At 46.7% G+C, this 26,993-nt stretch overlaps 1 protein-coding gene and 1 long non-coding RNA gene across 2 annotated transcripts in view, besides 7 other annotated features; one reads left to right on the top strand and one right to left on the bottom strand.

The window, feature by feature from the left end:
* Positions 2,248-2,542: a silencer, noted in NCBI's record as "tiled region #747; HepG2 Repressive non-DNase unmatched - State 22:ReprW". NCBI's record gives its function as "represses a minimal TATA promoter and a strong SV40 promoter by Sharpr-MPRA in HepG2 cells {active_cell/tissue: HepG2}" and the evidence as "EXISTENCE:reporter gene assay evidence [ECO:0000049][PMID:27701403]".
* Positions 9,619-24,718, bottom strand: LOC124901118 (uncharacterized). The gene is made up of 2 exons (XR_007059010.1): positions 24,635-24,718; positions 9,619-9,720 (listed from the first exon to the last, which is right to left on the bottom strand). It is a non-coding gene; the product is annotated as an uncharacterized LOC124901118 (long non-coding RNA).
* Positions 23,782-24,747: an enhancer, noted in NCBI's record as "H3K27ac-H3K4me1 hESC enhancer chr5:153568703-153569668 (GRCh37/hg19 assembly coordinates)". NCBI's record gives its function as "activates a minimal SCP1, AML or CMV promoter by ChIP-STARR-seq in naive H9 embryonic stem cells {active_cell/tissue: H9 hESC(naive)}" and the evidence as "EXISTENCE:reporter gene assay evidence [ECO:0000049][PMID:30033119]".
* Positions 24,968-25,057: a silencer, noted in NCBI's record as "silent region_16533". NCBI's record gives its function as "represses an Ori minimal core promoter by ATAC-STARR-seq in GM12878 lymphoblastoid cells {active_cell/tissue: GM12878}" and the evidence as "EXISTENCE:reporter gene assay evidence [ECO:0000049][PMID:35858748]".
* Positions 25,148-25,247: a silencer, noted in NCBI's record as "silent region_16534". NCBI's record gives its function as "represses an Ori minimal core promoter by ATAC-STARR-seq in GM12878 lymphoblastoid cells {active_cell/tissue: GM12878}" and the evidence as "EXISTENCE:reporter gene assay evidence [ECO:0000049][PMID:35858748]".
* Positions 25,258-25,367: a silencer, noted in NCBI's record as "silent region_16535". NCBI's record gives its function as "represses an Ori minimal core promoter by ATAC-STARR-seq in GM12878 lymphoblastoid cells {active_cell/tissue: GM12878}" and the evidence as "EXISTENCE:reporter gene assay evidence [ECO:0000049][PMID:35858748]".
* The window catches only part of GALNT10 (polypeptide N-acetylgalactosaminyltransferase 10), a 230,252-nt gene continuing 228,630 nt past the window's right edge, over positions 25,372-26,993 (top strand). The window contains exon 1 of the mRNA NM_198321.4: positions 25,372-25,664. Within this exon, the coding sequence (NP_938080.1) occupies positions 25,506-25,664 (159 nt within the window). The 5' untranslated portion in view covers positions 25,372-25,505. The remainder of the gene's footprint in view (positions 25,665-26,993) is intronic.
* Positions 25,458-25,537: a silencer, noted in NCBI's record as "silent region_16536". NCBI's record gives its function as "represses an Ori minimal core promoter by ATAC-STARR-seq in GM12878 lymphoblastoid cells {active_cell/tissue: GM12878}" and the evidence as "EXISTENCE:reporter gene assay evidence [ECO:0000049][PMID:35858748]".
* Positions 25,608-25,667: a silencer, noted in NCBI's record as "silent region_16537". NCBI's record gives its function as "represses an Ori minimal core promoter by ATAC-STARR-seq in GM12878 lymphoblastoid cells {active_cell/tissue: GM12878}" and the evidence as "EXISTENCE:reporter gene assay evidence [ECO:0000049][PMID:35858748]".

Below are 26,993 nucleotides of genomic sequence, written 5' to 3' on the forward strand. Positions count from 1 at the left end.
CCCTGTGCCTCATTTTTGTCATCTGTAAAATGGAACTAGTAATTTTATGCTTATGAACATTTGAGGTTACGCATGTGGTGTTCTTAGCACTGTGTCTGGCTCATGGGAGGTGCTCAACAGATGGCCACCATTCTTAAAAGTGTCATTTGAAGAGCAAAAATGGCAGGTGCCTAAAGAGATAGATTCAATGCCCTTAAATGAGGATGGGGGTTGGTCCAAGGAGGAAATGTTCAGTTTAGGCTCAGAGGAGTTGGGTCTCCAAGGATAGCTCTGGGGCTGGCTGTGGAGTGGGATGCTTTCTCCTGGCTTTTATAACACAGGGGAAAAGAAATCCATCCAGGTTCAGATCTGGAAGATGCCAGCCTAGGGCCAGAGAAGGCTGGGCCCTCACTGTTGATTGGTGGGGAAGTTAGCAGGTTAAAAAAAAAAAACAACCCTTTCCGCTCCCTCCAACTACTTTCTCAGATCCTTAACAACTGGCATATCAACCCATCTACTCAACCAAATTGTTGGCCAGGACCCGCTTTCAGAGACAGATGTACTTGCAAAGCACCCACACAACCTAGTCTCACACCTGAGGTTTGCTTACCTCCTGTGCCCTGCTGAGCTGCTTTGCTGCAGGGGATCTGACTACAGAAGGACAGCAGGATTTATCACTGTCCTAACTTACCCATTTGTCTCCCGCCCAGAGGGTCCTGACAGGGGAGTTTCCAGGGACCTTGCTGAAGGCTGCTCAAGTTCTTGACAGAGACACATGGCAGCGATTACACGCGACGATAGGCACAGTTACTGCGAGACGCGCCTGCTCCAAGTCCCCTCTTGAGCAGTCTCAAGCTGACTCTACAGCCTCCTTTGCTTCCAACTCTTTTTAAAAATTATTTATGCGGGCGTGGGGAAGGAATGGGGAGGGGTGCACAGAAGGCTGGAGGCAGGACTCTTCCCCAGAGGCCGGGGCGGGGGGAAACCCCTCTGTTGACACAATTAGATGGGGCAGCTTGAAATGCTCTTCTTTGTCACCAGCTTTCTGTCCTAGGACACAAAAGTGTTTATTGCATTTTCTCAAACATGAGACTTGAACCAAAAATCTCTGAAGAGACAAAGCGTTTCCTGAGAGATAAAGGAAAAAGAAGATGGAATCATAGAAATTTTCAAGGTCATAAAATTTAACTCCTGAACTAAAGTTTCTCTCCTAGTTCTGTCAGATATTTACCTGGCATTTGCTTGCACACCTTCCTTGACAGGGGGCTCACTACTTTTTAGGGCAGCTTAATTCATTCTTATGCAGCTTTGACTCTTAGAAAATTCTATTAGAGGCTTGGCGCGGTGGCTCACGCCTATAATCCCAGCACTTTGGGAGGCCGTGGCGGGTGGACCACGAGGTCAGGAGTTCAAGACCAGCCTGACCAAGATGTGTAACCCCATCTCTACTAAAACTACAAAAATTAGCCAGGCGCGGTGGCAGGCACCTCTAATCCCAGCTATTTGGGAGGCTGAGGCAGGAGAATAGCTTGAACCCGGCTGGCAGAGGTTGCAGTGAGCTGAGATTGTTCCACTGCTCTCCAGCCTGGGCGACAGAGTGAGATTTTGAAGAAAAAAAAAAAGAAAGAAAGAAGGAAAGAAGGAAGGAAGGAAGGAAGGAAGGAAGGAAGGAAGGAAGGAAGGAAGGAAGGAAGGAAGGAAGGAGAAAGAGAGAAAGAGGAAAGAAAGGAAGGAAGGAAGGAAAGAAGGAAGGAAGGAAGGAAAGAAAGAGGAAAGAAAGGAAGGAAGGAAGGAAGGAAAGAAAGAAAGAAAATTGGATTAGGTTGAACAGGAGTCTGCCTCTCAGCCAGTGCTCTTGGTTCTGCCTGCCAACCTACTTTCTCAGCCACAATATTTCTCCAAGAGTTGTTGCTTGTATGAGAATCACCTGGGGAACTCATTAAAATGCAGATTCCTGGGCCTGATCCCATCCTGGTGAGGCAGAATCTCTGATGCAGGGTTCAGGAATCTGCATATCAATGCAGGATGCCTAATCTCTAAGATCTGTAGGGGTTGTGGGCCCCCACAATGAATTGAAAAGGTGTCCACAAGCAGGGCAGGAATGTTAAAAGAGAAGACCAGGGATCCAGAGGACTAAGTTCTCCAACTTGTCAAACTCTACCAAGGATGGGGCTGATTAGGGAAGAAGCCACATTAAATAGAAATAAACTACCAGGAAATCACAAATAACAGCTATCACTTACTAAGAACCCACCTGTGTAAACACAGTACAAAGGGTTTGGCATAATCCCTCTATGTGTAAGCACTACAATCATCCCCATTTAACAAGGAAACAGGTTTACAGAGCTGATGTGACGGGCCCAAGAAAACACATCTGGGATGATCTGTAGTCTTGTCTTGTCCCATATGCCTTAAGATATGCTGTTAATTTACATTGTTGGGGTGAGGAAGGCCACCTGGCGAGAAATGTGGCCTTCTATCTTGCAGCTACCTGTTTAGGAACAAAAGGAAAAGCAGGGTTTTCGGTTTGTTTGTTTGTTTTTTTAATGTGATTCAGTTTCCAAACTTAACTTTTTCCTTTGGCATTGTGAGTTTGGGGTCTCAAGATTTCATTTTCCTTTTGCACTGGGAACCCCAAATCTAAACCTCCTAAGGTCCAGGCCTCTTCCTTTGTTCCAAATGAGCAGGTGCAAAGTTGTTTTCATTTGACATTGGGACCAGTTTTCACCCTCACATCCAAGAAGAGATCCTACCAGGTGCTCCTGAGGAGTATAGCCAGTCCCCGGGGAAACAGGGTACCTGGGGCTTCCACTTGGTAGTTCTCGTCCCAAAGAGCAGCGTAGGCCCTCAAGAAGCAGTCTTGCTTGTCTAGGCTGTTCACCTCCCTTGGTCACTCTCACAGGCCCACCCCAAACATTTGCAGGGCCTGAGCAAGAGTATAAATAGAGGCCCACATATCACCTGTTTGAATTAAGGTATCACACTGTAAATAATACCTATCTTCCTATCTTGACAAATATTCTTTCATCATGGCCTGGAAGGGTCAAGTTCAAATTAAAATTTGAAGGCACTCCTCCCTAGAATGTGGCAAATGTAGGGAGAACTGGCCCGCAGCCCTGGCTCCTGGCACTGTCCCCTTCTCTTTCCAACCCTGACTCTGCCCCACAGCCTGAAGGCCTCACATGCACACATGTGAATACCGTAGCCTGCACATCCCAGCTTTGTCCACATGCTCTGCAAACAGCTGAATCTTGGCCCCCTTTGGGCTGGGCTGAGTCATTTTTGGAAAGCTCTGTCTTGGCCTGTCTGCTTCAGCCATGGTCACTGTCTGGCTATCTCTGCCCTCTGAATCCATTTGCACCAACTGCTAATCATGGGGGCTGAGAGGGGAGAGGACTCAGGATGTTGCAAGTCCTCCAGCCACCTGCATCAGAATGCCACTCAGCCACTTGGGGCCTTGGTCTCAGCCTGGCACCAGGCCTGGCAGCGGGCACTGGGAGGCAGCCCCTCCCATAGCGAATGAAGCACAGGGAAAGGAAATACAGTCTTGAGCTGTTACTCTTGCCTGCAAATGAGAGGGAGAATCATATACTTTAGGCAGGGAAGGAGGTGACCTAGATCATGAGATCATATCTACTTCACCATCCCACCTGAAATTTGCCTATTAAATCTTATAACCTTTAAATTTAAAAATATATGATGATGCATATAACTTGGGGATGATATCAGCTATAATCCTACAGGTCAGTGATTATTAAAGTGCAGTCTAGGGCCAGGCGCAGTGGCTCATGCCTGTAATCCCAGCACTTTAGGAGGCTGAGGCAGGCAGATGGCCTGAGGTCAGGAGTTCGAGACCAGCCTGACCAGCATGAAGAAACCCTGTCTCTACTAAAAATACAAAATTAGATGGGCTTGGTGGTGCATGCCTGTAATCCCAGCTACTCAGGAGGCTGAGGCAGGAGAATCACTTGAACCTGGGAGGCAGAGTTTGCGGTGAGCCAAGATTGTGCCGTTGCACTTCAGCCTGGGCAACAAGAGTGAAACTCCGTCTCAAAACTAAATAAGCAAATAAAAATAAGTAAGTAAATAAAGTGCAGTCTAAGCCCAGCAGCATCAGCATCACCTGTTGTTAGACATGCAAATTCTTGGGCTGCAGTCTGACCTATTGAATCAGAGACTCTGGAGGTAAGACCCAGGCATTGATGTTTAACAAGCCCTTCCGATGACTCTGATCATGGTGAACTCCAAGAACCACTGATACAGGCAATGCAGTTACTGATTGTTGCAGAGCAGAGTAGCAATTCCACGAGAGTCATGCTCATCAATATGTGCTCATTCAACACTGAGAGCCAAACACTGCATTGGGCCTTGGGGACTCACGATACAGTCTCTGGCCTCAAGTTGCTCATCGTCAAGCAGAGGAGCAGGCAAGTAAACAGATCACTACACTGGGATGTGATGAGCGCTAACATCTACAGGTGAAGGGTGCTGTGGGTGGAGGAGTCTCAGATGACTTCCTAGAGGCAGCCCAGTGAAGTGTTCCTGGTGACAAAGTCTCTATCCTTGACAAACTTTAGTCAGACTCCTCTGAGCCCTCTTCTTGACTAGACCTTGACCTGGGCCCCCATCTTGTCTTTGGTCTGCCCAGCCCAGTCTTGGCAAAGAATCCACTAAGTCATTCCTCATCCTTGAGATCTGATTAAATTCCTCATCCCCCACCCTCGATGTTTAAGCCTCTGATCTCCCTTTAGCAAGAATCTCATTAGGCCAGTTTAGCAAGAATCCCCCTACCCCAATGTCTCCTCTTAGTGATTTCCCATCCACTGAGCTCTTACTCTGCTCCTTGCCTGCACATCCCCTGCCATTTTCGTTGTATTGGGAGTTGAGTCCAATCTCTCTCACCTTTTCCAACACCTCTATTGCAATAGCCCTGAGTAAAGTCTTCCTTACTATTTTATTTTAACAATAAATCTTTAACACTGGACAAGGAGCAGTGTGCTGAGGCCCAGAAGAAGGAAAGAACATGGCCCAGCTCAGGCAGGCCCTGACTATGGCTCCCATGTGAGAGGCAGAGTGTGAACGAGGTGGCTGAGGAACAACTGCGGTGGGATGGGCCTGGAGAAGTAAGCCGGAGCTTTGCGAGGTTCTCCAGGGACCTGGGCTTTCTCCTGAAGGCAGGAGAAGGTTTTAAGCAGAAGAGTGACATGATGAGGGTTTCATCCCAGAAAGATCCATCTGTTAGACAACTTCAAGGTGAATAGATTGGGGAGCCCAAGCCTGGAGTCCTGAGAGACAGGGCGGAGGCTGCTTTCCTCAGGGGAAAAGAGGTGGGAGGTAGGACTGGAGCAGGGAAGGTGGCTGGAGGGAAGTAAACATCTTTGAGATCAATTCAGAGAGTGGGCCACACATCAGAACCACCTAAGGAATTTTTTAGGGAAACACTTGTCTGGGCCCCTATCAGGACTCTGGAATCAGAAACTCGAGCAGCCGTTTAAAAAGCTTCCCTGGTCATTCAGCTTCAGCCAAGGCTTAGTGTCACTGAGGTCAAAGGTGAAGAGCCAGGGCTAGGTGACATTGTCAGAGGAGGGCAAGAAGAGGAGAGGAAGGAAAGAATGTGTGTGTGGCAGTGGTGGGGTTGGGGGTGCCCCAGGAGTCTGTGTGTGTCATCAGGGAGGCTAGTCGCTACATTTTCACAAGGTAAATCACGACCTTGACTGGAGAGGTCAAGGATAGAAAGCATCATCCCCTCCTTTTTAGATGCAAAAGATATACTGGGTTTCAAGGAGGTTAACACTCACACAAATGAACGATTTGATTAAAGGGGCTTGATGAACTCCTTCATTCATTCAAGCAATGTTTACTGAGCACCTACTATGTGCTGGGTGTTGTGCTGGGTGCTGTGCTAGGTGCTGGAGATACAGTGGTAAAGAAAATCAGATATACTCCCTGCCCTCATGGGGGTTCCAGTCTAGTGGGCAAGGCCAATTTTCTACAAGTATTGACTCTAATAATTGTAAAGTTACAACTGTGCTAAGTGTAAGAAACAGAAAATACTTACAGAACATAATAAGGAATGTGGCCTAGTCTGGAGGTTCTGGAAGTCTTCCCTTAGGCAGTGGCACCTGACTCAAGGTGTAAAGGCTGAATAAGAATTAGCCAGAAGGGTGGGAGCTAAAAGGGAGGAGGGTGCTACAAGCAGAGGCACAGCATGCACAAAGAGCCTACGGCAGAAGAGGTGGCCTTCATCATCAAATGGACTCTTCCTAGGCAGGTAGGGTTCCCGAGCCCATGGGAGAAGTTAGCAGCACCAGACACCCCTTTCAAAAAGCCCACTTTGGAAGTGGTGCTAATAGGATGCCCAAGTTTCCCACAATGGGGAGATGGCCAGAGGCCTGCCTGGAGTTGTTCCCTGGTGGCTTCCCTGCAGGCTGGTGGAACAAGCCCAGGTGTGCAAGCCAAGACAACCTTGCAGCGAGGTCATTCAGCACATCCTCTGGGGGAAGTGCTTCCTGACAGCTGCTCTGAAGTGATTCTCCTTCAATTCTCATTTTATAGCTCAGTGTTCCCTCCTCAGCAGGAGGCTGTATCTCTGAAGAAGTCAGGCTGACATTGCAGGCTGCAATTACCATGCCCTTCGCCTGCCTGAGATTTCCTGGTCATTTCCTACCTTTGGCGCTGTTAAGATTTTTTGCATTTGTTCCATTGCACAGATATTTATCAAGCAACTGCTGTGTGCCTGGCACAGAGGTGGAGACTACAATGAATAGGGATGGATATAAAAAAAAATTGGGATGGCCTACCACCTTTCAGGTGACCCTACACAACCAATCAACAAATGTGTGTAGAGTAGGAACTAGAAATTGAGATTTAAGTGCATCCAACAGAACTAAATATTGTGACACATCTAGTTAAAATTGGTGCACAGAAGGTGGGGTTTAAGTGAGCTAAGTCCTCATCAATCATACTAAGAAGTCAATAGATAATATCTAGCCGATAAATCAAGAAACAGAGGTAATAAAGCTTTGACAGGAACCACCAGAGTGTGATGATAAAGAACACTCCGGTGGCTGGAGTCAGACACCCTGGCTGAAATCCCATTTCTGTTGTTCACCAGCCATGTGACTTTGAACACATCACCTACTTCTCCTTAGTTTTCATATTTGTAAAATGGGCATAATAATGATACCTACCTCATAGAGCTATGGGGAGCACTTAAAGAAATGATGTACACAAAGAGATTGGCACATGACAAGTGCTCCATAAATATTAGCCAAGGCTAAAAGCAGAACCGTGGAAAATCAGTGGTTTCTGGGGAACAGGATACGCGAGGGTGCAGGAGGTGGAAGGCAGATGCTTTTTATTATAAGCTTTCTTCATTGTTTAATTATATAACCTTAGGCATATATCACATTGCCAAAAAAGAATTTTTAAAATACACATACAAATTGGGTGACTACTATAGAAAACAGGACATTGACTGAACTCTTCTGGCCTGAGCAGCTCTTTTCCCGCCCCATTCAAAGCTCCTCCCCCTTCCTTGCCCCATCTTCAGCCTCAGTTTCCCACCACCCCACTTTGCTTCCTTACTTTCCGTTTGTCTTGTCACCCACTCTTAACTGCCTTAAGTAGGCCTTGGTGCCCTTGAGTCATTCAGTCCCTGGGCCCAGGAACCTGTTGCAATGCTATTATGAGGCCTAGGCCAAATATCAGGCACATGTCTGGGGTAGATGGTGTTGCATCTGGGCCTGCAGGCTGATGGATCTGCCACAGAGCAAGTGATTCCAGGGGTTCCTGGAAGCACCCACATCCCTCTCCAAGGCACCTTTGCCTCCTCAGATAAGGGAATGCTCACTGCACGAAGGTCCTGGGATTCAGATTCAGGGAACTAGGACTCCTCCCGGACGCTGCTGCTGTCAGGCTGTGTGACTATAGATAAGTCACTTTGCTTTTCTGAGACTCAACTTCCTCCTTCATAAATGAAGAGACTCTTCCATCACTAATGAGACAGATGTACTCTCAATCCACCACTGTTTCCAGATCTGATGATTTTGCCTACCCAGCACCCATCCATCCTTCCTCTGAACACAGGACTCTAATTTTCCTTTGAGACTCATTCTGCCCTACTCTCAGAACTCGAAGACTTAGGTGAGAGTTCACTCCTTATTCTGGGGGTAAGCAAGTGACCCAGACCTAGCCAGTGAAACTCGGAATGAGATTTTTAGTGAAGCTATTGAGAAAGAGAAATTTCCCCTGGCATTGCTAGCTGTCGGGATAATGTAAACCTAGAGCTGCTGGCAGGTGCCTGTCATCTGGAGAGAGTGGCCTGCCTGAGGGCAAAAATCATGAGTAAGAAGAAGAGTTGAGAGAGAAAGACAGAGAGAGAGAGAGAGAGAGAGAGACAGAGAGAGAGAGAGAGATTGTGGTTTGATGGCATCCTTTAAACACATGAAGTTCACAGCACTTGCGAAGTCCCTGGACTTTTCAATTAAGTAAGACAGCAAATTTCTGTCATCCTTTTCCTCTTTTTTATGCCCAAATCTTTTTTAAGCTGGTTTTCTGTCACGTTCTGTCTTTGAACATTGTTTATCTTCAAGAAAGTCTCTCCCATGTCCCTTTTTTTTCTTAGCAAACACCTATGCATCATTTAGGATCCTCCCAAACATCACCTCCCTTGTGAGCTTTTCCATGTGCCCTTTAGCAGAATTAGAAGTTCCTTTCTCTGGGCTTTCATAGCAGGCTGTAGTACATTCCTACAATAAAACCCTTATTGCATTATATCAAGTTTTTTCCATACTTGTGTGTTTAGATCCCTGTGTTCGAGTGCTTGTTTGTCTTTAAATTCCCAGTGCCTAGATCAGGGGCTGGCACACAGTTCATGTTTGATGAATGAGGGAATGAATGAATACATAACCCAGATCCTCCTGCTATGGCATTAGCCCTCTTTATGGTTGCTCAGAAGAAATAGAAACCAATTTGTTACTCTGCTCTATGTGGATTAGTCACACTTTAACTAACTACAGTGTGGTGCAATGTATTTACTGAGCTCAGTAAATGCTAAAAACAATTTCAATTTTAATGCTGAATTGTCAGTGCTTTTATACACTTACCCTCCCTTGCTACCCATCCCTTTTGTACTTACTCTGGAGGTCACTTGATGCAAGAGACTGGGAGTTAACTTCCACTCAGCTGCCTCTATGAATCTGTAGACCTTTCTCATCTTCATGATGAAGGGGCTGAATTGGATCAGTTGAAACGTCTAAGACCCACAGAGCTATGGCGACCACTCAGCCCTAGCTTGTTATTGCCATGCAGGAAAACAGGCCTAGTGTTGCCAGATCTTGCAGTGTGTGTGTGTGTGTGTGTGTGTGTGTGTGTGTGTGTGTGTGTAATTTTTATAGATCTTGCAATTTTTAAGAGAAACCAGGAGTGTGAATTTTTATATAAAATGCATGCTTTAAAAAATATTGTGTGGGCCTAGGCTGTGAAGAACCAGGCACTCTCCTACACTGCTTGTAGGAGTGCAAAAGGATAGCTTTACAATTGAAGATGTGTTTATCCCTTAATCCAGCAACTTCCACTTCTAGGAATCTCTCCTGAAGATTCACCTCCACACTACAGAACAAGCTGCACACAAGATTATTCATTATTATGTTATTTTAATAGCCAGAGATTGAAAACAACTCCAAATGTCCATCCATAGGAGACTGAACCTGATTCATTCACACTGTGGAGTACTTGCAGCTGAAAAAGAGAATGGGAATGATCTCTATGTATTTATATGAAGTGATCTCCAGGATCATTTATGTAATAAAAGCAAGATCCAGCCCCATATACAGAGAAGTGTTTTTCAAACGCAAATCCCCCAGCTGAGGATAAGACATTTGCAAAGCCCACAGCATTGGTTTTTCCCTAGGCAAGCTGTGCAGATGAGGGCATGGGCAGTGTAGCTCCCACTGAGTGTATGTGTGTATATGAACATGCATTCAGTAGGTGGCAGGAACTTCCTACAGGGACAAGCAGCTCAGAGAGCCATTGGCAAACCCAATGTCCCACTAGGAAAACATCCTAGAGGAATCACGCTAGTATAACTTTGCAGAAAATGTTGGACCTGGATTCAAGGAGTAGTGGCTTCTAATACCAGATCTTCCCCTAACAGCCAACAGGTCTTTTCTTCTTCCTCCCATCTAATGTAGTTGTTATTCATGTGCTCATTTCTACAATGCCTTTTCCACCACTAGACTGTGAATCCTGGGTGAACATCTGCTTGCTCACCACCCAATCCCTAACATCTGTTACAATGCCTGGCTTGTGGTAGGTACTCAATAAATATCTGTTGAATGCATAAATGAGTCAATGAGGTGATGTTCATAAAGAACTTAGCATAGTATCTAAGCATGGTTAAATCTTCTATTAAAGGTAGTAGTTGTTTACTTAATATTAGGATGATGCTGATTACTAGTTGTTTGACTTTAGACAAATGAAATCCCTGAGTCTTGGGGATATGGTTTGAATGTGTGTCTCCTCAAAATCTCATGTTGAAACATGGCCTCCAGGCTGGGCACAGTGGCTCACACTTGTAATCCCAGCACTTTGGGAGGCAGAGGCAGGCAGATCACGAGGTCAGGAGATTGAGAACATCTTGGCCAACATGGTGAAACCCCATCTCTACTAAAAATACAAAAAATTAGCCGGGCATGGTGGCAGGTGCCTGTAGTCCCAGCTACTCAGGAGGCCGAGGCAGGAGAATCTCTTGAACCCGGGATGAGGAGATTGCAGTGAACAGAGATCGCACCACTGCACTCCAGCCTGGTGACAGAGCGAGACTCTGTCTCAAAAAAAAAAAGAAAAAGAAAAGAAAAAGAAAAAGAAAAATATGGCCTCCAATGCTGGAGGTGTGCCTAGTGGGGGCAGATCTCTCATGAATGGATTGGTGCCCTCCCCATGGTTAGGAGTTCACAAGAGAGCTGGCTGTTTAAAGAGCCTGGCTCCTCCTTCCTCTCTCTCTTGCTCCCTCTCTTGCCAAGTGACACACCAGCTCCCCTTCCCTTCTACCACGTTTGAAAGCTTTCTGAGGCCTCACTAGGAATGAATGCCAGCACCACACTTCCTGTACAGCCTGCAGAACCCTGAGCCAAAGTAAACCTATTTTCTTCACAGATACCCAGTCTCCGGTATTCTGTTATGGTAACATAAATGAACTAATACATTTGGTTTCCTCATTTGTGTTATGGATACAATAATATCTATCTCCAGGTTTTGTTGCTTAATAAGCTAATAATATATACAGATCACACACTGTAAGGTTTCACACATAAAAAATACTTAATCAGTGGTAGAGAGTGATGTCACCAAAATGGTGGAGTAGAAGCAATCTGGCTTTACTCTCTCCCACTGAAAATCAAAATCAAATACCCAGCACCTAGATTATCACCAGCAATATCCCAGAACTCAAATGTGAGGATGAGAAATTCCCTGGGGCCACAGAGATGTAAAAAAACCCTGAGCAAATGGTAAGAGCAGACTCCTATATCTACAACACACCTCCACCAGTAAGTGGGGGCTGTTACTAAGGAAAAATAGGGCCAGATGTAATGGCTCACACCTGTAATCTCAGCACTTTAGGAGTCTGAGGCAGGTGGATTGCTTGAGCCCAGGAGTTCGAGATGACCTGGACAACAAAGTGAGACCCTGTCTCTACAAAAAAATCAAAAAATTTGCTAGGCATGGTGGCGTGCACCTGTAGCCCCAGCTACACAGGCTGAGACAGGGGGATCACTTGAGCCCAGGAGGTCAAGGCTGCAGTGAACCTTGTTCACACCACTGTACTGTCACTTGTCATCATCCTGGTGACTGAGCAAAAAAAAGAAGAAAGAAAGGAAAATAGTATAAAATAAATAAACAAAAGAATCAGGCAAATCTCTTAATTGATGTTGAAATGACAGACGCGTTGCCTCAAGAGCCTCTCTCTTGCACCTTTCCCTGTCTTCTAAGATATGGTAGCTATCCATTCTTCAACAAGTGCTGGTCGAACAGATACTATGTGCTAGGCACCACACCAGCTGCTAAGAGCAGCATTAAAACAATGAGTAATCAATGGGTATGAGTTTCTTCTGTGGTGATAAAAATGTTCTAAAATTGATTATGTTGATGGTTGCACGCAGCTGTGAATATATTAAGACATTGACTTGTACACTTTAAATGCGTAAATTAATTGTATGACATGTGAATTATATCTCAATTAAACTGTTAGTTTTTTAAAAAAAGAAAGGAACAATAGACCTGAGTCAACCACATTCTATCTGTGTGATTTTGGGCAAGTCACCTGACATCTTTGCTTCAGTTTTCTCTTTTGAGAAGTAGGAATAATAAAAGAACTACTTCATGGGGTTTCAATGAGGATTAAAAGAGAAGACATCTGTAAGGTGCTAGTTAGCACTTGGTATGTAATAAGAGGTCCATAAATGTTAGCCAACATCATCACCCTCATCTTTATTAGTATATAATGCTAAAATAGGAATATACACAGTAGTATGAGAAAAAAAGAGGAAGGAGTTCTTAGTCAAACTGGATGGGAAAGTGAAGAAGTGATGGAAGAGGAGATGGCATTGAAGCTGAGTAAGAATTCATCAGTACAAGAGGATGTGAAGGGTATTCCTGGAGGAGGAAACAGCATGAGCAAAGGCATGGGGGTGAGAAATAGCATTATTAAGGTAATGAGCGACTAGCAGTTTTGTATAAAGTGTAAGGCCAGCAACTCGGACTTTACTGTGAGGACAATAAACCTCCAGAGGGAAGCAACATGGCAAGTTGGCATCCCAGAATGGTCACTCCAGTGGAGAGGATGAATGTTAGGGAATGCAGGACAGAAATGGCAGAGGAGTTAGGAGTGAGAGATACAACAATTCAAGCGAGAGATGGTAATGGCTACAACTTGGACTTTGAGTCAAGAGTATCAAGTATCAAGGCCAGGGCTCCTTTGGTCGTAAGTGACAGAGTCACTCATAACGTCAGGGAAGGCGTAAACTCCAAGGCAGGGGCTTCAGTCTAGTCAGGCATCCCAGAAACCAGAACTGGAACTGGAAAACCAGGAGGCAAGGTGATTCTCTTTCAGTTTTCTCTCTCAGCATCCCTGCCTCCCATACTTGGGCTGCACTGGCTTCTTTTGACTGAAGCACTTCCTCTGTTACTCCTGGTTTCTGCCTTCCCATATCTTCTCCTTCAGTGTGGCCCAAGAGTAATCTCCACCCTTGTGCTACCTGAACTGCCACCTTCAGAGGCCACCACCAGCTGCCTTCTTCCCTCTGTGTCACTGGATTCCAATTTCTGAGATAGAATCTGAATGGCTCAGCTCATCCTTTTGAACTTGCCTTAGGACAGTTCAGGAAAGTCATAGGTCAAGGACCAGCCCAGAAATGAGGGTGGAGGCTGTCTACAAAGTAGAAAACGGAGTCATTATAAGTAGCAGGTTTCTGCTCAAGGATTCATCTTACAGGCACCTGAAATATGTCTCATATAATAGGCCTAGAGGGGAAGGGATACATTTAAAATTTATTAGGCAATAAAACCAGCATTATTAGGTAATTGTTTGAATGTGGGAGGGGAGTTGACCCGGAGGCATGGATGACATCAGGGGTTGGCTTGGGTAACTGGTTGATCTCTCAGCTCCACTTTCCCCTGTGTTGGGACTGTTTTCAGGTTCTCAAGAAGCTTTTCCCTTGATTGAGTTAGGGTCTGCAGGAAACGAATGGCACTCTCACACTGGAACATTGGAAGAGAGTTTAATAGGAGGAAAATGGGGCAGGGTATAGTGTAACCATGAGGGACGGGGCAGTACCATGGGGCCAGAAACAGCGTGTGATGTCCAGCCCTAGCCCTGAAGGGTGAGGAAAGGGGCAGTTATTGGAATCTAGAAAGGGAGGACTGTTTCAAGAAGCCTGCGCGATGGGAGCCATGGACTTTTGTGGAGGACACAGACAGCCTGCGGCAAAGTTGCAGCAAGGGAATGGCGGGGGAAAGAAATGCTCTGACCTGGCTCTTCTCCCTCCCTCTGAAATCCTGCCCTGGCTCCTCAAGGGCTAAACCCAACAGGAAAACATAGAGCAAGGAAGCCCACTGATGTAGTCTACACCGCCTCCCTGGGGTGGGGAGAAGGTGCGGAGGAGCCGAGTCAAGAGGTCCAATACACGCCTCACGGTGGGGCTCACATCCAGCTCGCAACAATCCGCTGGAAGAAGCCACTACTTTCTTGATAGCCTCTATACAAAAGCCACGGAATTGAACCTCGATTGTTCAGATTCCGTCCCTGGACCAATCACTGCAGCTGAAGGGGGTTACTGCTCTGATTGGCTAAGTTCTGAGATGCAGAAGGGTGAATCTTCAAAGAAAATCAGGGTGTTGTTAACTATCCAGATAAAAAGAACACTACTGCACATAATGGGGCTCCTTGAGAACTTTTGAGAGGAGTTTATCAATCCTGCTGGAGAGATGGGTGGGGGTGGGGGAAGAGACCAGAGTGCATCCGTGAAGAGGTGAACCCAGTCATAAGAGATAGAGACATCTCTCTTCAAGCTTCACCTTTTTATTTTGTTTGTTTATTGTGACAGAGTCTCGCTCTGTCGCCCAGGTTGGAGTGTTGTGGCGCGATCTCAGTTCACCACAACCTGCGCCTCCCAGATTCAAGCAATTCTCCTATCTCAGCCTCCCAAGTAGCTGGGATTACAGGCGTAAGCCACTGCGTCCAGCCCAGCCTCACCTTTTTAAACAGGGATGAATCAACCATCTGTGGCTCCAGCACTCACCAGCAAGTTGTTAAACAAGTTCAGCCTTCTTGTCAAGAGTGCAGACCCCTCGTTGGCAGCAAAGACCACCAAGCCCTGCTTCATGAATTCATTCCTTGCAGTTAGACCTAGAAGCGACTTCTCTGGACCCACTGAAGTTTGCTGGAAGGTGCCACCTAGTGGAACAATAGAGGACCTACCGCTTGGACAAAAAGAAACCTTAGCAGGATTTTAGAGCCCTGAGAGCCATGTTGGAGCAGTGGTTCTCTCAAACTTGGCTACAAATTGGAATCATGTAGGGATGGCTGAGTCTGACTCCCAGAGATTCTGACTTAATTGGTCTGGGATGCAGGTTAAGCATCCAGAGCTTTTAATGGTCCACAGGTGATTCTAATGTGTAGCTAAGGTTCAGACTACCGGGTTATAGAGTATCCAATCCTCTTACTTTACAGAGGTGCCCACAGACTGCAGCCGTTCTTCCAAGAGTCTCAAACTCCTAGGAAGCCCCCTTTGGTCCTGTGCCCCACCACCTCTCTGTGTTTTGTATACCTTTTTTTTCTTTTGTACAAAAATGAAAAGTAATTAAACAGAAAGCACTCTCGTTTACCAAGCCCTGATACTTTCATGGCAGTGCCAGGAGGAGGATGGCTCCCTATACACCTGATATTTGTATCTGACCCTACTGGCTAATGCTCTGTTTGAGATGGGTCCACCCAATGACATAGTATATTTATTCTTTGTTTGAGATTTGTGGCCTTCTCTGTTTGCTCTTTCAAAGTGTATCCTACTTGAGGTACTTTTGATATCTACTGTCTTGATTCAGTGGTGTTCCTTTATAGTTGACAGGATTGATTTAATTGGCATCTCATTGTGGAAATGACAAAGTAGGGTCTGGGAGAAAAAGAGAAAGGGAGACAGGCAGTTCCCATCTAGAGGTCATTTCAAATAGGTGTTGGGGCTCAGAAAAGGACACCCCAAAATATGGCACTTTTGCATGCTGACTCCTTTGAACTAAGGAGACTGACAGCCCTCAGAAATAAGCTTCAGAAGTAGAGGAATTAATGTCTTAGACTCCTTCTCTGAAATCTATGTTAACCAGAGAGGAGGAGCTCCTTCTGCAGGAGAGGAAACTAAAAGTCTCCAAGCCCAGATACCACACACAGACAGACTTTTCACCTGTTCTTTCAACTACTCTTCTGAGGGTTGTTACCTGAGAGACTTTATCTGCATAATAAGACAACCTTTGTTCACAGTGCAATTCTGCCCCCCGCCTTTTCATAACTTGTCACCACCTCTGAGGAACTTTGTCCCAGGTTATTGTCTGTTCTCCAGGCTCATTCATCTCCCTTAAAAATCATTTACTCTTCTTCTAAAATTGCCTACATCCCCCACTTTATTCTTTCTTATGATGAGGGTATTTAAGCTTCAACCATCTGGCCCTTCTTTGAGTTTCATATTTTGTGTGGCTCCCATGCAAATGGCACATTAATAAATGTGTAGGTCTTTTCTCCTGTTAGTTTGTCTATTACCAGTTTATTTTGGAGACTTAAAGACTCAAACTTTCAGAAGGGGAGGGAGAAATTCCCTTCACCCCTACATAGGCATCCTGCAAACCCTTTCTTTGCATTCAAAATAGGAGTTGAAGTGCCACTAGATGCAGAAACTGGATTGAATCCCAAGTGGTGTTCCATGTCTGCCCCCACTTTTCCCATCCTACCTTGCAGGATTTAGTCACAGAATTTTGAAATTAAAAAAGACCTTAAAGAGCATCCGGTTCAACTGCTTTATTTAATACAACCATGTTCTGTGTTTATCTAGACATCTCTCCTTCCTGCTGCCATTACACTCACAAACCCACACATGATAAACCTGAAGCTCAGAGAATTTGAGTGACCTGTCTGAGATCACACAGGAAGCTAGAAGCAAAGTCTAGGCTGATTGAGGCTGACCAGGTACAGGTGGGGAAATTTCAGCTCCAGGAATTTTTTTCTCTTCCTCTGTATTATAAGTTTGAGCCTTGTTAAATGACCAACCTGGCGCAGATAGAAATTTGGGTCATTGAGACTAGTGTTAATGAGTTTTCTGAATACAGATTTTAAAGAGGTGGGTGTAGGATTATTAATTAATTGACTGATCGATTCATTTATTTCTCAGATGTTTGTTGAGCGCCTATTTTGGGGTAGGTACTGTGCTAGGTATTGGGGATATGCCAGGGAATGAAAACACACATGGCAAGTGTGAAAGGAAAACAGACTTTGGGACCCCAAAACCACAAAGCCAAAGGGAAAAGTCAAGCTGGGAACTGCTTAGGGAAAACCTGCCTCCCATTCTACTCCCACACAGATAGCATTTCCCTGATGAAATATGATGTGGAATATTTTTTTTTTTTTCTCAGACGGAGTCTCACTCTGTCACCCAGGCTGGAGTGCAGTTCCATGATCTCGGCTCACTGCAATCTCTGCCTCCTGGGTTCAAGCGATGCTCCTGCCTTAGCCTCCTGAGTAGCTGGGATTACAGGTGCATGCCACCACGCCTGGCTAATTTTTGTATCTTCAGTAGGGATGGGGTTTCACCATGTTGGTCAGGCTGGTCTTGAACTCCTGACCTTGTGATCCGCCCGTCTTGGCCTCCCAAAGTGCTGAAATTACAGGTGTGAGTCACTGCACCCGGTGATGTGGAGTATCTTTTTAATGTGCTTGCTTGTATAAACCAAAAAGTATCTGAGACAAGTCTCAATCAATTTAGGAAGTTTATTTTGCTAAGGTTAGGGACGTGCCTGTGACACAGCCTCATGAAGTCCTAACATGTGGCCAAGGGAAATGCAAATTAAAACAGTGAGATACCTCTACACACCTGTTAGAACGGCCAAAACCCATAACACTAACAGCACCAAGAGCTGGCAAGGATGTGGAACAATGGAAACTGTCATTCATTGCTGGTGGGAATGAAAAACGGTATAGTCACTTTAGAAGCCAGTTTTCCAGTTTCTTGAAAAACTAGAAAAACCCTTACCATATGATCCAGTAATTGAATTCCTTAGTATTTACCCAAAGGAGTCAAAAATTTATGTCTACACAAAAACCTGCACATTGATGTTTGTAGCACCTTTATTCATAATTACCAAAACTTGGAAGAACCAATATGTCCTTCAGTAGGTGAACGGACAAACTGTGTTACATCCAGGCAATGGAATATTATTCAGCACTAAAAAGAAATGAGCTATCAAGCCACAAAAGGACACACGGAAGGACCTTGAATGCATATTGCTAAGTGAGAGAGGCCAATCTGAAAAGGCTACTCCATACTGTGTAATTCCAACTATATGACGTTCTAGAAAAGGCAAAACTATGCAGACAGTAAAAAGATCAGTGGTTGCTGGGTTAGGGTAGGAAGGATGAATAAATGGACACAGAGGATTTTTAGGGCAGTAAAACTGAGGCAGGAGAATAAGGCCTGGAGGCAGGGAACCTAAGGACTTCGTAGAACTAAATCAAACTGAAAAAGCCCAACTTTCTAAGACCAAGTAAATAACTTTGTAACTCTACTTCTGCTATGACAGGAAACATCCTCTTCATTTGCATAGGATGTACACCAAGTAAATAACTTCGTAACTTCACTTCAGCTTCTTCATTTACATAGGGTATACACCAAGTAACCAATGGGAAACCTCTAAAGGGTATTTAAACCCCAGAAAACTCTGTAACCAAGCCCTTGAGCTGCTTGTTCGGGCCCCCTCCCACCCTGTGGAGTGTGCTTTTGTTTTAAACAAATCTGTTTTCTTGCTTCATTCTTTCTTTGCTTTGTGCGTTTTGTCCAATTCTTTGTTCAAAACACCAAAAACCTGGATACCGTCCACCAGTAACAAAACTACTCCGTATGATACTATAATAGTGGATATGTCATTATACATTTGTCCAAACCCATAGGAGGTATAATACCAAGAGTGTATCCTAATGTAAACTATGGATTTTGAGTGACAATGATAATGTTAATGCAAGTTCATCAATTGTAATACATATAATACTCTGGTGGGGGATGCTGATAATTCAGGAAGCTATGCATGTGTTGGGACTGGAGTATACAGGAAATCTCTGTACCTTCTACTTAATTTGGCAATGAATCTAAAACTGCTCTAAAAAGTAAAGCCTACTAAAAACAAACAATACCAAAACCAAACACGGTCTGTCTCTGTCCTCATGGGACTTACAGTCCAGTGCGGGAGACAGATATCAAACAATGACCCAGCAACTGTAAACATTGTGACTGTTAAGGAAAGGCATTGCTAAGAGGTTCCATAGCTGGGGAGCTTACTCTGTTTAGGGAGGTTGGTCAGGCTTCTCTGAGAATGTATCATTTGAGCTTGATGATGCCCAAGGAAAGAAGAAGCAAGAAGGCTTTAAATTTGCAGGAGACACAGAAGTCCAACACTTATAGCATTCTGGGTTTTGCTTGCAGTCAAGCAGACCTCTCTCATATCAACCTGGAAATTATATCATTATAGAGTCATAATTATTCTCATTTTTCAGATGAGGAAATTGAGTAGCTAAGGGACTTGGCCAAGGTGAAAGAGAGTTAGACTGACATGCAGACCTGTTGGTCTGCAGATCTCTTGACTTGCTGACCCATTCTACTTTTACATCTTCTCAGCTCAGGGCTGGTCCAGACGAGCCTGAGGGTATAGTTCTTGACAAATGGGGTCAGTAACAAGGGACCCTAAAAAAGCCAAGGTGAGGACATCGAGTAGGAACGCTTTTCATATCCTCATCAGGGAGATTGAAGGCCTGCGCCTGTCACCTCTCCTCTGGTTGACCCTTCTTGCTGAAGTATATTCTGGGGGGATACTGAAAGACCTGTTGTTACTGATGACAAGATAAGAAACCGAAGAGTGAGCAAGAGAATACGCAGCTCATTTAAAAAACAAAACAAAAAAAGTAAAGATGGGAATATGGGGAAAGAGAGGAGCTTCTCATTCATCAAATGTATGTTTTAAGCCCTTTCTGCGTGTCAGGCACAAATGTTCCAGGATGGAGGAATATAGCAGGCAATGAGCAGACAGGGCCCTTGCCCCATGCAGCTGATATTCTATTTGGGAAAGCCCAATAATAAACAAGTAAATAAACACATAAATGAGACTATGGCAAAGAGGGATATGTATGCACTGTGAAGGAAACATGGCAGGATGTAAAGTATGGGAGAGAGTGCCTGGGTAGTTAAGGAAGGTCTCTGTAAAGAGGTGATATGTAGTCTGGGACCTGAAGGATGAAAGGGAGCTAACAGTGGAGGAAGATCTGGGGAAACAGCTGGCAGAGACAAGAGCTAATGCAAAGGCCTTGGGGCTGGCATGGGCAGAGGGCCTTCAAGGACCAGGAAGAAGGAGAGTGTGGCTGCTTTGGAGCGAATGAGGAGAGTAACAGGAGATGAGAGCAGAGAGGCACAGGCCAGAGCAGAAGGTTTTGCCTGACAGCTGAAATTCTGTTCATCCCTCTCAACGCTCCTGTGTTGTTGAGCTTTTATTTCACCCAGCTACTAGTGCTTACATTCGACCAGGGTCTGCACGGTAAGCCCTTTATGCACATTATCTTATTTAACGCCCACAATAGGCCTAGAGGGCTCAGTCTGAAAGTAACATTTTTTGTTCAATTTCAGTCAATGACCAGATCAGTTCTCCCAGGAAACCAGCCAGAGCTAACAGACTGCCCATGTCTCAAATGGTATTGTCTCAGCGAGCGGAATAAAGCCCCAGAAGCCCACCCCCTGCCTGGTGCATCCCATATTGTACAAAGTGATCAAAGAGTCCCTGGATTAAAGCTGGGTTCTTGGGCTAGAGTCCTCATTGGGGCCAGACTGGGCTGGCATGCAGCTTTGATCAACAAGTGACATGAGAAAAAGCTCAAATCCAATTTTGTGCAGAATCTTCTAAGGAGCTAGAAGAGGGGATGGGAAGGAGAGAGATGCTGAGTATCTTCCCTCCTGTACTTGATCTTCACTGCTATACAGTACTTCACTCAACAGGGGCTTATTGAACACCTACTGTGTGCCAGACCCAGGAAAGGCCACAGCTTAGTTTGTGTGGCTGGGTGGGAATATGAGTTGAAATCCACACACCTTGGCTCTGTTCTGGCTGCTTTAGCACAAGGAGAGGGGGGATCCTTTCTGTAAGTTCTTCTGCCTGGAAGGAGCACCAGTTTTCTGATTCACAATGAAGGGAAATACAATTGTGCATGGCTTAGTGATGGGGATACGTTCTGTGAAATGTGTCAATAGGTGATTTCTCATAGAGAACATCATAAAGCATACTTGCACAAACTTTGATAGGATAGCCTAATACACATCTAGGCGACACGGTATAGCCTATTGCTCCTAGGTTACAAACCTGTACAGCATGTTTCTGTACTGAATACTGTAGGCAATTGTAACACAATGGTATTTGTGTATTTCAGCATATCTAAACATAGAAAAGGTATAGTAAAAATAGAGTATTATAGTCTTATGGGAACACCATTGGTATATACAGTTCATTGTTGACTGAAATGTTGTTGAACAGTACGTGACTTTATGTGCTGACAGAGGCACGGAACACCATAGAAGGCAAATACAAAGTTCCTGTCTGTTTGGAACTCACATTCTAGACAGGGAGACCAAAAATGATACCTGCTTTGGAGAAAAATCAAGCAAATGGAGATGGTGGTGGTGCTAGTTGATATCTTAGATCAGCTGGTCAGGGAAGCTCTCTCTGAGGCAGGACCCCTGATCTGGTTCCTGAGAGAAGGCGGAGAGAGAACCATGCAGAGGGGTAGAGGAAGAGATTTCTAGACAAGGGCACAGTAAATTTGCAAAGGCCCTGAGGGAATCATCAATTTGGTATACATTTGAGGAACATAGCAAGACCAGTGTAACTAGAAGAGAAGGAAAGAAGGCAAAAATTAGAAGTTGGGTCAAATAATGTAAGGCCTTATGGGCTGTGGTAAGGATTCTCATAGATTGTAGGTTGTTTTCTGTTTATTTGTTTTGAGAGACTTGGTCTTGCTTTGTTACCCAGGCTGGAGTGCAATTCTGTGATCATAGCTCACTGCAGCCTGAACTCCTGGGCTCAATCCTCTCACCTCAGCCTCCAGAGTAGACAGGACTACAGACACATGCCACCATGCCTGGCTTCATAGACATATTCTAACATGAAGAGAAGCCATAGGCAAGTCCCAGCAGCAGAGTTAGCCTTGTGTGTGTAAAAAGAACATTCTAGCTGCTCTGTTACCAGCACTGTGCTCAGTGCTATAGTGGCACCTAAAAGTTTTTTGCAACATTATTTAATTACATAAATACTGTGTATCCACTGCAGTATAGAAGACATAGGGCTATTCATAGCAACATTATTCACAGTAGCCAAAAGGTAGAAAGAACCCAAATGTCCATCTACTGATGAATGAATAAACAAAATGTGGCATACATACAATGGAATAGTATTCAATCTTGAAAACAGGAATGGAATTTGGCTGAGCGTAGTGGCTCACACCTGTAATACCAGCACTTTGGGAGGCCAAGGTGGGAGGATCATTTGAGGCCAGGAGTTTGAGACCAGCCTGGGAAACATAGCTAGACCCGGTCTCCACAAAAGATTTTTAAAAAATCAGCTGGGTGTGGTGGCATGGGCCTGTAGTTCTAGCTACTTAGGAGGCTGAGGTGGGAGGGTGGCTTGAGCCCAGGAGTTTGAGGCTACAACCAGCTATAATCCTATGACTGCACCAGTGACTGCACCACTGCACACCTGCCTGGGCAACATAATAAGACACTGTCAAAAAAAAAAAAAAAAAAGGAATGAAACTCAGATACATGTTACAACATGGGTGAATCTAAAAAATATTATGAGTGAAATAAACTGGAAACAAAAGAACTAATATGATATGATTCCACTTACATGAGGTACCTAGAATAGTCAAATTCAAAAAGGATAAAGTAGAATGGTGGGTAGTTGCCAGCAGTTGTGGGGAGAGGGTAATAGGGAGTTAGTGTTTAATGGGTACAGAGTTTCAGTTGGGTTGATGACCAGTTCTGGAGATAGATAGCCGTGATGGCTGCAGAACAATGTGCATTTACATAATGCCGCTGAATTGTACACTTTAAAATAGTTCAAATGATCAGTTTTACAAACGTTTATCACAAAAAAATGTGTTTAAAAAAGACATAGAGTTAGGAGCTAGAAATAGAAAAATGGCCATTCTAGGCAGAGGTAACAACAGGTGCAAAGGTACTGAGGCAGGACTGTGCCTGCCTGAGGGATGCTCTGAGGAACAACAAGGAAGCCAATGTCACTGGGGCACAATAAGGACAGTAAGGAGTGAGAGCTGATCACATATGGGCTTGTAGGGTCCTGTACTTTCTTAGGAACCTAATGAGAGGTGGGAAGCCACTACAGGGATTTGAGCAGAGGGGCGATACAATCTAACCTTGGATAAAACAAGATCATTCTGGCTGCCACATTCTTTTATTTATTTAATTAATTAATTAATTTATTTATTTATTTATTTTTTTGAGATAGAGTCTCGCTCTGTTGCCAGGCTGGAGTGCAGTGGCACGATCTCGGCTCACTGCAACCTCTGCTTCCTGGGTTCAAGCGATTCTCCTGACTCAGCCTCCCAAGTAGCTGGGATTACAGGTGCCCGCCACCACGCCCAGCTAATTTTTGTATTTTTAGTAGAGACAGGGTTTCGCCATGTTGGCCAGGATGGTCTCGATCTCTTGACCTCGTGATCTGCCCGCCTTGGCCTCCCAAAGTGCTGGGATTACATGCATTTTTAAATCTGACTCTCATTCGCCAATGGGTATAAGAAAAGCATGTACCTCACAGGGTAACTGTGAGCATTTAAAGAGGTAATGCATCTCAAGGGCTGCCTGACATAGAGTAAGCACTCAATAAAAGGTAAGCATTATTGTGATGGAAATCTAAAGAAAGAAAACAGTTCCCTGAGGAGGAGTTTTAGAAGGCTTCGTGGAGGAGGTGGCAGTTTAACTAGACACGGAAGGATGAACAAGATTTCCACCGACCTAGAGAAGGGGGTTTTATGGGTAGAAGGAGCTGCGTGGTCAACAGCACAAGAAGGAAAACACAAAGCCTGCAACAGGCTAAGCGAAGCTCAGGGCAGGGCAGGGCAGGGCACGGCAGGAGACAGAACGTTTGATCAGCCCTAGCAGGTCATAGGAGAGGAGCATGATGGACTCTAGAGCCGAGGTGATGGAAGCCTTGAAGGTTTTGCTGCAGAAATCAAGAACTGAGCTGTGATGTCAGAAAACTGAATCCCCATCGCTCAGCCTGGAGCTGGAAGAACTTGGAGGCAAGAGTTGCCAGAACGCTGGTCAAGGACTAGTGGCAGCTAGGCACGAAGGTCAGCGGCTGAGCTAGAGAAGCAGAGAATCAAGAGGACGAATGTGGGGGTGGCAGAGAGTAAGGTAGCCAAGGGGGTGCTCCGTTCCACCGCATCAGGGAGGAGGCAGCTAAGTGACCAGCGTCGAGCGCCCCGAGGAGGAGCCGCTGGCTGGCATCACCGTCGGAGTCCGGCTCCACGGCCCTCCGCATCGCCCAGAAGCCCGACTCCTCTGTCAAAGCCCTCGCCACAGTTACAGACACATTGCCTGGTCTAGTGAAATTACGTGTTTCATGTTTCAGCTCCCAGACGTCAGGGCTCAGGTCTGTTTTCATTTCATCCCAGAGCCTGGCACAGTGTTTGGCACATAGTGGCGCTCGCCAACGGTTTGCTGAGAGCTTTCCGGGAAGGGCTCAGTGCGCTTAGGATCCAAAAGCACGCGTGAGAATGCAGGGCATTCTAACTCCAAGGGGGTTGGACTTGCGTGAGGAAAGGTGCTGCAGAGAGGCTACCGTCACTTACCCACCCGCCGGTTTGCAGGATCTACAGACGGGCGGCGGCCGGGCACAGCTCCCTACAGTTTGCAGAGGGCGTTCACACCTAACGCCAGGGCCCCCCTAGAGGAAGAAAACCAGGGCCCGCCCGCGGAACAGTGAGCGTGCAGCACGGCTGTGGCCCCGTTTCATGGCCGGGAACACCGAGTCGCCGGGGTCAAAGTAGGTCCGCAGGTCCTGGGGGCCGAGCCTAGGTGGGCTGGAAGTGACAGCCCCGGGGGCTCCAGGCTCAGAACGCCCGGCGGGGCCCCAGCACTATTTGCATATCCCCAGGGAGGCAGCAAAGGTTCGGCTGCAGTCCCGGGCGGAGGTTGCCGGGCGGGGCGGCAGGGTACCCGGGCGAGCGGACATGCACCCCACCCAGCGGTGCCCAGCCCGCACCAGTTAGCGCCCAACTCGCCAACTCCGGGACTTTCGCAAAGCTCCAGAGGGCGGGGGAGCCGCCGAGGAGTGGGACGGACCATCGCGGCTCGAGAGGGGGGAAGCGCTCCGGCCCGGCATCCTGCAGCGCCCGGGCGGGCCGAGACGCTCCGTGAGAGGGCCGAGCCTGCAGCGCAGAGACTCGGCGGTCGACGCGGGGGCAGGCGGCGCGGGGCGGGCGGCTCGGCGGGGCCCGGGGGCGGTGGCGGCGGCGACGACCCCCTCGTGGCGGCGGCGTGGTGGCGGCGCCCAGCTCCCCGGCCGGCGAGCGGCGGAAGTGCCGCGGAGTTGGAGCGGGGCCGGCGCCGCAGCCGCTTCTGCTGGCTGAGCTGCTGCCGCCGCCGGGCGGACGGGCGGACGCGCGGAGCTGGGGGCGGCGCGGCGGGGCCGGCGGGGCGCGGCGGGGCTGACCGGCCCCGATGAGGCGGAAGGAGAAGCGGCTCCTGCAGGCGGTGGCGCTGGTGCTGGCGGCCCTGGTCCTCCTGCCCAACGTGGGGCTTTGGGCGCTGTACCGCGAGCGGCAGCCCGACGGCACCCCTGGGGGATCGGGGGCGGCGGTGGCGCCGGCGGCGGGACAGGTGAGTCCCCCCGTTGCTACAGGCCGGGAACACCCCCTTCCCGAATTCACTTTTAGCCTGTGGTTCCTTCCTCCACCTTCTGCTGTCTGCCTCCTCAGAGTCAGCTCCGAGACTCTTCAGCTCTTCCCATTTTCCGGATGGGAAAATTAAGTCCTGTCGGGACTTGTCCAGGGTCCCACGCCAGTCAGAGACTGAGTCCGAACTAGCACTCAGGACGCTATTTCTCACCACATGTTACCACCTTCCTTTCTGTCCCCGTCTGGTATTCCTTGACGTCTTCCAGCGGATCTCTTTTGAAGGATCCTATCTGCATCCCTGTATCCCAGGATGACTCCTGCCTTGTGCCAATAGGAATGAAGATTCTGGTTCTTCTATTTGGTGTCCAGGTCCTCTCTGCTTCCCTCCTCCCACCCCCCCCCCCCCACAACCCCTACCTGCTGATCCCAGTGTTCTTTGCTCAGGTCAGCCCTTTTCCTGATTTCTCATCTGCCCAACGAGACACCCGGGCCTTCCTCCTCTCCCCATTTATTCAACACCCCCGCCCCAACTCTAGCCTTTTCCTTTCTCAGATCCTGTGGATTCCTTGCAGAATGTAAAGATCATGCTCCCTTTAAAGCTTCAAGCCCCTGGGGGTGGAGAAGGGGGTAAGCTCCTGGTCCTTGAGGGACCTGCTGCCTTTGACCTTATGGGAGTCCAGAGGTGGGGCTCTGGTGGGGGGACCCCCAAAATGTCCCAGAGGCTATTGGTGCCCAGTGTCCTGAGGATGGAACACCAGAAGCCTTCCCTATCTCTTCTGAACTTGTCTAGTCTGGTTAGTTGTAGTGTTTATTGCAGCCAAAACTGGGATCGGAATGGTTTCTGCCTCCTTTGAACTTACCCACGTATGTTTGTGTGTATGTGTGCGTGCACGCATTTAGACTAGCAGCTCCCTCATAGCAGAAGCTCTGTCACATCACTCCCACCCTCCCAGGAGGTGCTAGTGAGTGTATTGCTTAGACTGTTTCATATAGTGGAACATTTCAGGCTTTCTTACGGGATTTCTCTGGTCCCATGAGAAGTGGATAATTTGTGTATCAGGGTCAGACTTGACTGACTGTTGGCTGGCCTCGACGAAAGAGGCTGGCTTTTCTGAGATTGATGGTTTTCCTTATTCTTCCCAGTATCAGGCTGCTGTCTAGGCAGTCTGGCATCTGGAGCACAGAGGGCTCTTTGCTACAGAGCTGACCAATTTGAGCTCCGCCTGTAACTCTGTTAATTGCTGCAAAGCATCCCAGAGGGTCTCATTGATCTTTCTGGTAGAGCTTACTGTTTAGAAACTAAGGTTTCCAT

This window comes from Homo sapiens, chromosome 5 (assembly GCF_000001405.40).
Source record: "Homo sapiens chromosome 5, GRCh38.p14 Primary Assembly".
Taxonomy (NCBI): Eukaryota; Metazoa; Chordata; class Mammalia; order Primates; family Hominidae; genus Homo; species Homo sapiens.